The sequence below is a fragment of the Homo sapiens genome, chromosome 11 (genome assembly GCF_000001405.40).
Source record: "Homo sapiens chromosome 11, GRCh38.p14 Primary Assembly".
Taxonomy (NCBI): Eukaryota; Metazoa; Chordata; class Mammalia; order Primates; family Hominidae; genus Homo; species Homo sapiens.
The window spans coordinates 34,570,168-34,578,889 of record NC_000011.10 but is presented as its reverse complement, the minus strand read 5'-3'; the positions used below and the strand labels follow the sequence as shown (position 1 = coordinate 34,578,889).

At 40.4% G+C, this 8,722-nt stretch overlaps 1 long non-coding RNA gene across 1 annotated transcript, besides 1 other annotated feature; it reads right to left on the bottom strand.

The window, feature by feature from the left end:
- Positions 1–281: 281 nt before the first annotated feature.
- LINC02707 (long intergenic non-protein coding RNA 2707) lies at positions 282–7,995 on the bottom strand. Its single transcript, XR_931181.3, has 3 exons — positions 7,887–7,995; positions 4,424–4,557; positions 282–676 (listed from the first exon to the last, which is right to left on the bottom strand). It is a non-coding gene; the product is annotated as a long intergenic non-protein coding RNA 2707 (long non-coding RNA).
- Positions 2,174–2,468: a silencer, noted in NCBI's record as "tiled region #13672; HepG2 Repressive non-DNase unmatched - State 22:ReprW". NCBI's record gives its function as "represses a minimal TATA promoter and a strong SV40 promoter by Sharpr-MPRA in HepG2 cells {active_cell/tissue: HepG2}" and the evidence as "EXISTENCE:reporter gene assay evidence [ECO:0000049][PMID:27701403]".
- Positions 7,996–8,722: the final 727 nt, after the last annotated feature.

Below are 8,722 nucleotides of genomic sequence, written 5' to 3'. Positions count from 1 at the left end.
TGTGTGTATATACTACATTTTGTTCATCCATTCATTCATTGGGTTCTGCCAGATGTTAGCTATTGTGAATAATGCTGCTATGAACATGGGTATACAAACATCTCTCCAGGATCCTGTTTTCTCCATTCTTTGGGGTATATATCCAGGAATGGAATTGCAGAATTATATGAGAAATCTATTTTTTTAAAATTTTTTAAAGAGCCATCATACTGTTTTCCACAGCAGCTGCACCATTTTACATTCCCACCAACAGTGCATGAGTGTTCCAGTTATTCCACATCCTTGCCAATATTTGTTATTTTCTGGTTTTTTTCATAGTAGCCATCCTAATGTATATGAGGTGATATTTTAATGCAGTTTTGCATTTCCCTAATGATTAGTGATGTTGAGCATCTTTTCACGTGCTCATTAGCCTTATTTTTGACGTGCTGATTTCAACAAGAATCATGGCTCATATTGCACCTGTGTAATCCTCCTTTACTGCACCTGGCAGAGAGCATGGGCAATTAGGCACTAAAAATACTTAATGAAGAAGCAGAGAAGGGGTAGTAAAACTTCATGGTTAAGCACATGGATTTTGGAGTCTCCTAGACCTTATTTGAATCCCCATTCCACACTCATGAGCTGCTGGCTATACGATCCTAGGCAAGTTGCATCCCTCTGTGAGTTTGCTCATCTGTAAAACAAGGAGAGCAAAAGAGCTTCAGTCACAGTTGTGAGAATTAATTGAGATAATGCAGAATATCTGTTCCCTATTACGTCCCCTGTCCTATTCCTAGAGGAAAACATTTTTCACTTCCTTTAATTTTTCTTCTGGCATTTGCATCCATATTTCTAAATAATATGATATGCTGCTATTCTTTGACATGGCAATTTTTTAAACATTACGGTAAGTGAGGATTTAGGTCTCTTACACCCCACTGTGCCTACCCGTGCTTCCAAATGTCACAACTTTGGGTTAACTCAATAATCAATGTTTGCATTTTAATAACTATGTACATCTTCATTTTTCACCCATTAGTCAAGAAGTATACCATGATTTCGTTTCCTTTCTTGAATATTGTTTTTTGTTTTTCCAGTAGTTAACCATTGCCTTCTTTACTTTTCATCTGCTTGGGGTTTTTTTTCCCTTTTGCTCTTTTTTGGCAAATGTAACAACACACCTGTTACACACATTTTTAATACTACTTTCCAAATGTTTATGCCAATCAGATATTCATTTTGTTTTTTCCCCTGGTGCTGTCCCTTCTGAAGCTGTCCACTCCTTGTCACACTGGACATGCTCTCCCTGGGATCCCTCTGGCTGTGCCTCTGTATCATGTGATCCCCTGATTCCCAGATCTGATTTCTTCCACTTTCTTAAACTATGTCCTTGTTCTAGCAAAGTGTATCTTCCTGAGATACTTGCCAAAATTAGGTGCACAGGAGGTAGAATTTTAGAGTTATTATATGCCTGAGAAGATTTGAATTTTTTCTTTACAGTGGGTTTTTTAATTGAGATGGAAATTGAATTCTAGTTAAAAATCATTTTCTTTTAGCAAGTTTAAGGTATTGCTCTTTTTCTTTCACCATCCAGTATTGATATGGAGAAGTCTAATGCCATTCAAGGCCTTTGAATGGATTCCCTCTGGAAGATTTTAGGATCTACTTGTCCTAACATTTCACAGGATAGGTTCTGATTCAGTTCTTGAAAAGTCAATTTTTTCTGGGTACAAGATGGATTTTTATCAGTCTGGAGGCCCATGACCTTTTATTCTTGAAACTTTTCTTATAATATTCCTTCCTTTCCTCTATTCTCTTTCTGAGACTTCTTTAGTCACACACAATCTCCTGGGTTGATTCTCTGTTGTTTTTGAGATCTAAAGTTCTCTCATTTCAACATTATGTTCTAAATTCTGTTTAATTTTTTTAATTTTTATTTTGTCTTTTATGTCTTTAATTTCCAAGATCTCTTTCCTCTTCACTAATGAATCTGTTTCCATGGCAACTTGTACTTGTTTTAGGTATGCAATGTATTTTTTTATCTCTGCAAAGGATTAGAATTATATAAAAGTTTCTGTTTTTTAACTTAATTTTCATTTCCCTGCCATTTCTCTGCTCTTTACACTATCAGGTTTTTTTTCCTTTTTTTTTTTAAATTCTTTCATTAAAGTTGGAAGTTTCCTCAAAAGCGATCCTGTCTTTGATCTTTAAAATTGAGATACTAAATAACCAATTAAAACCCAGAGGTTCGTAGTGAGGGCCTGATCAGGGGTCATCTCTGGAAACTGATCAAGTGTTGAGCTGCATTTTACTGGAGAGCTCTAAAAAGTAAGAATCTGAGCTGTTATCTCTTGGATGAGTCAGTTTCTCCAGAAAGGGATCTTTCCATCTTCTGCCTGGAGCAGGGCAGAGAGGCTGATCTAAGCCTGGCTGCCAGCATTCCAGGAAGAGAGCAGGAGTCTCACCTGCAGACTCAAACCTCTTCTTTATTTTCTAGATGATACTGCACCCTGTACTTGGCTGTCTCTAGATCTCCCTCACCTAGAGAACAAAAAAAGTCTCCTGGTTTGAGACGAGAAAAAAAAAACCTCTTACATCAAAATTCTCTATATTCTGAAGTTCAACAAATCCCCCTGTTTACTGCTACCTGTAGTAGCACAAGCTGCGTCCAAGCCTCAGTCTTTCTGTAGTTCTTCCCAGTAAAGCGGCTTATTTCTCACTGGTTCCACATCCACCCCATTCCCCACACTCACATAGACTATTTCTTCTGCCACTCTGGTAAGTCAGTTGCCACTTCTCCGTATATTTTCCATATTCCAAAACTTGTTGAAATGTCTTGTTCAATAATGTCTCCTTTCCTCCCTTTTCCTTGGTGTTTGTTTCTACTCTTCTTTAAATTCAGGTAAAATTCACATAACATAGAATTCATTTTAGCCATTTTGAGGTGTACATCTCCATGGCAATTACTACATTCACAGTGTTGTGCAACCATCACTTCTATCTAAGTCCCAAGACATTTTCATCATCCCAAAAGGAAACTTCATACTCATTAAGCAGTCACTTCCCTGTCTGCCTTCTCCCCAGCACTGGGAAACTACCAGTCTGCTTTCTGTCTCTATGGATTTGCCTACTTTGAGTTTTTCAAATAAGTAGAATCATATAATATGTGACATTTTTGCATCTGGCCTCTTTCACGTAGCATGATGTTTATGACGATCATCTATATTGTAGCATGTATCAGTACTTCATTCCCTACTGTGATTCAATAACCATCTATTGTATGTATATACCTCATTTTGTTTAGCCATTCACCAGTTGATGGACCTATTCCTAGTCTTTTATTTCTTTTCTATCATGGGCGGTTGGAATCAGGAAGGGGAGGTGATAATGTGGGCGTTTGATCTGACACTTTAGCTAAAATAATGCTGCCAAGTATTAATGAAAGCTTTATCTTACCAACCAGACAGCAGCCTGACTTTCATTTTTCACATCTGTTTAGAAAATAAGCTCTGTGACAAGTCCCCAGTAGAGTCACCACCAAAAGGTTGTAGTCCATTCCATCAGTGTCACAAATCAAATTCTCTTTCTCTTCCCCGGCCGGGGGTCTCTCAATCAGTTGAAGAAACCCCCAAAAAATGCTTGGAAAGGCAATCCCAAATTGTTTGGAATAGCACGACTGTTTGCTTATTAGATAAGTATGTTTTATTCCCAAGAGTATTTATAATTAAGTATAGAACTGATAAATTATTTCAAATCTATAGAATAATATATTATCCTAAAGAATACTGTTAAAGAATATTTCATGTTAGGCCAGGTGTGGAGACTCATGCCTGTAATTCTAGCATTTTGGGAAGCCGAGATGGGAAGATCTCTTGAGCCCAGGATTTCAAGACCAGCCTGAGCAATACAGAGAGATTTTTTTGTAGAGATACTGTCTCTACAAAAAAAAAATGCATGTTAAAGATGCTAAGGGATAATTTATATATACTTAGTATTTTAAGAGCATATGATCTCATGCTACAGAATCTCACACTTTATGCCCTAAAATTGGAGGCAAGTAATTTTGAGACATGGGCAACATCCAGTTTGGAGAATTGGCATGAAGAGATAAGTATACATTCTTAGGTGTCACTGTTCATTTTCAAAACATCCCAGGTAGATACAATGTGGTCTGTAGAAAAAATAAAAGGTTATGAGATGCCTCTGTGTCAGAATTTGCTAAACAGATTAATCCCCAAGTCAATTCCTGGAACAAAAGCTTTGGGGAGGTTACATTAAAGTGCCTAACTCAGACTCTTGAATTTCTTAAAAATATAAAATCTGAAGCACTTCTGGAGAAGATGGTGCATACTTCCCTAAAGTCCAGCCAACAAGGTTAATGAAAAAAACAAGCCCCCGGGAAAAGAGCTTAAGGCAAATTCTTATTTTAACCCAACCTTACCTTTTGGCACTACTGGGCACAATGCTAACCGTCCTTTGTTCTGATCTTGGAAGAGAAAGTCTTTCCTCTGCAGCTTTCTTGGGATCCCCAGGCGACGGGGGATTCAACCCTTCTCAGGAGGCTTCTGTGATCATCTGGGACATGGAGGCAGCAGAACTGAGTGGAAGATTTCCTGGACAAGCATGTTCCAGGCGCCCCTGCCTAACCAGGTTTGGGCATTATCCCCAGTTTTGCACTAGTGTTATGCGTTTGATTCCTGCAATGTCTGTCCTCTCTCATGACAGGAAAGACACAGGTCACTTCTTGCATAAGGCTACAAAGGGTCATACTCTGTAGGTTTCTAGCACTCTTTCCATGGTCCCCAGGGGCTGAGAGGCAAGTCTCTTGACTTAAGGATAAAATAGTCGCTGGGAGATGAATGGCCCTGCAGTGAACAGAGATCTTAATCATCTACAGGTTTTGTGTACAGCAACCACAGTACTAGGCTTTACCGAGAGACAAAGACCCAAGAGCACAGTGGAGGGCACACCAGCAAAACAGATCAGCAAGGCAGAGAGGCCCGGAAGAAAGGCAGGGCGCAACATGTTAGTCGTCAGCATATTGGTCAGGTGATTAAGGTAAGAGTTCCTAGGAAAGACAAATGAAAATATCGATGTTGTAGTTCGGGTAGGAACTGTGAAAGTCTTCCCTTTCTGGTCATATTCATCACCCACAATGTGACCATCCCTGTAACAGTCATCATATAATCAGCATCATCATCAGTGCAGATAAACTAAATGAGTGACAATATGCATCATGCTATTCATCACGCCCAACACACCCATCCCTGAAACCATCATCGCAGCCTCACCATCTTTACCTTCATCAGCACCAGAATGTCTGAGGAAATGTAAATTCATGCATCATGCTGTGGTCTTCCACTAAAAGGGGAAGAAAAATCTAGATCCATCCCAGCCCTCTAGGAATGTGTTATTATCATTACTGTTATTATTGGCTAAAATGTATTGATGCTTACCACAGGCACAGTGTAAGAAACCTTACAATAACCTGTAAGGGGTTAATGCCCTCATATTACAGGTGAGAAGATAGATTCAGAGAGGTTAAGTGATGTTTCCAAGATCACAGAACTAAGGAGTGGTGGAGCTGGGATGTGGACTCAGGCTGTTCGGCTTTACAACCCACACACCTCACTGGGATATAATATTGCCTCCTACAGCCTCCTCCAGTGGTCTGCAAATTGGAGTATGTACAGGAGGATCCACTGAGGGGAAGATGAAGATATTAGAATTGCTATTCATTTTTAATTCTCACTTCATACTTTTAGTTTCTGTTTTATAATATACTTAATTTACCAGTGTGATAGAGTACATAATGTAATTTATAAGTAAATAATTTATATTGCAGAAAATAGTAAGGGTACATGCTTAATTATCTACGGATAGAAGTGTGCAGCCAAAACAGCTAGGAGGCTGGGCACAGTGGCTCATGCCTCTAATCCCAGCTTTGGGAGGCCAAGGTGGGCAGATCTTCTAAGATCAAGAGGTCAAGACCAGCCTGGCCAACATGGCAAAACTCCATCTCTACTAAAGATACAAAAAAACAAAAAAAAAATCCAGGCATGGTGGCAGGTGCCTGTAGTCCCACCTACAACTCAGGAGGCTGAGACACAAGAATCACTTGAATCTGAGAGGTGGAGGGTGCAGTGAGCCGAGATCGCACCAGTGTACTCCAGCACAGGCAACAGAGACTCTGTCTCAAAAAATAAAAATAAAAATAAAAAAAAAGCTAGGAGACCCTTGGTCTGGAAAAAACTGACGTGTCCAACCCCATAGCTAGGCAAATGGAAAATTATATACAGTGGATCTGAGATTACCTCTGGACAAACACAATCAGTGTATACAATTGTGAATCCTGGTATGATGTTCTGCAGAATTAAAGTCTTGGTTTCAGCAAGTGACAAAAATTATGACATAACTTTCTTAATGGCCCTTCTAAGTTTATCTGACAAATTGATCTCACTAGTCTATGTATAATAGAATGATCCTATTATTATGGTATCCGTGTTAGAAACAGTAAACATGGATTAGTTGTCTGATACATTTTTAAATTAAAGAAATACAGTTTCTTCCCTTTCTAAAACCCTTATGAAAATGCACCTAATTGTTCTTCATTTAAAAAGTAGATACATGTTTTAAAGGGAATGCTTACGTTTAGGACATACATCGTGCAATACTGAAGTCACAAGATGTCTGAGACATGCTTCAAAATAAACTGAAGTCAGAGAGCAGATGGGAACCAGAAGAGGCAGAACTGACCACAGGTTGATCACTGTTGAGGTTTGGAGATAGATATTTAGGGTACATGATGTTATTCTGCCAACTTCTGTGTATGTTTTAAGTTCCATAATAAATAGTTTAATATTTAAAATATTTTTTAAACTGTCACAACTTGATTTTTTTTTCTCTTGAGCACTGTCAGAGCCCACCTCCCAACTGAGAAAGGAGAGGCATGATCTAATGTGGATTTCACAGAATTTATAGTGTGCCCTTTCCTGCCTTCACGAAATGTGTTAAATGTGCATACATCATTTGCTATTGTGTTAGAATCAATCTCATCCTATAAATACAATTAATAGGGGGAAAAGAGGATCTGATTGAAAAAATCATTATATAGCTGTACAGGGAAAAATTAAGGAAGGAAGCAAATCTCATGTATCATTGAATCGAATGTCCTTTGAAGACATTTTTCCACTAATATTGTTGGTGTGGGTAGCAATGATAGGACTTTTCACACATACGGGGTCATATATGATCTCTCCCTCCTGTGGTTCTTTTTTTTTTTTTTTTTTTTTTTTTTGAAATGGAGTCTCACTCTGTTGCCCAGGCTAGAGTGCAATGGCACAATCTCACAATCTCGGCTCACTGCAACCTCCACCTCCCGTGTTCAAGCGATTCTCCTGCCTCTGCCTCAGCCTCCTGAGTAGCCGGGATTACAGGCACATGCCACCACATCTGGCTAATTTTTGTATTTTTAGTAGAGATGGGGTTTCACTGTGTTGGCCAGGCTGGTCTCGAACTCCTGACCTTAGGTGATCCACCCGCGTAGGCCTCCCAAAGTCCTGGGATTACAGGCGTGAGTCACCGCGCCTGGCCTCCTGCGGTTCTAAAGGCTGAGACCATTGACTTAGAATCTGAGTTAGAATCTGAGTGTCCGCACTCAGAGGGACAAGAAGCTGTTTGGAGGACCCCAGACACGTTCAAGGGAAACACAGTGAGATGCAGACCAGAGTTCCCATAAGAAAAAGAAACCAACAAATGGTGACTGCTCTACCACTGGAATTAAACTGTGGAGCAATTCACCTACATCATCACTAAACAGTGCAGAGAAGACAAGGAACAGTGGGCTCGATGACAGCCCAGAGCTACTGAAAAAGCAAGAAATTGCTCCCAAAGGAAACACCCACCTGTGGGCCATACCACCGCTCCAAGAAACAAGAGCCAGATGCCAAGAGGCCTCAGGGAAGAGTCCTTCCAGAGTTCAGCCTCCAAGCACTCTTCAATCCTTTGTGTTCTGAGTAAGAATTTCCACACTAAGAGCTCAATTCCAATTACACCCCAAGATAGTATCAAAATGATAGGTAAATACAGTCCCAGCTTTCTGGCCAGGCAGCCAAAGCACACAGTGCCACAGGGGAAAAAATGGGCTGATTCAGATCTCTTGTGGTTATGACGTCTTCTTGGAGAGCAGCTGAAGGCAGCCGCGAGCAGTGTTTGTCAGGTGGTGCTACCAGGAAAGCACTGATGAGAAGCACAGGCGCGCTTATTGTGACATGGGCTTTCCTAGGAAGGGAGAAGAGGCAGCCATCTCTCAGTGATGTTTGAGATGAAACAAAAGAGAGTTATGGATGAGCCAGGGTGATGTGAGAAGCTGGAGTCCCTGGGTCCAGCTGGAGTCTGTGCAGTGGCAAGAGTCCTAGATTCACAAAATCTCAGAGATGGGAGAGGTTTGACTAGTGTCAACTCTCCCCCAGGTAGGGGAACCAAGGGGCGGTTTGGGGTGTGGCTTTAGATTCCCCATAATCTCAATTAGCAACCCTCCAAGTCGCCCCAAATAAACACACACTCTAAAGGAAAGAACAGTGCTTGATCTGCACATGCTGTTTCAAGGAAAATTCCCGTCACCCCTTATGAAGAGATCAGCACCCCTATGCCTCTCCTACATAGGAATTTTGGAAGCTTCTCTGCCCTTCCCACCCTTCCTAGATATCTAATACTTGAATCAGCCCTACCAGTAGTCAAC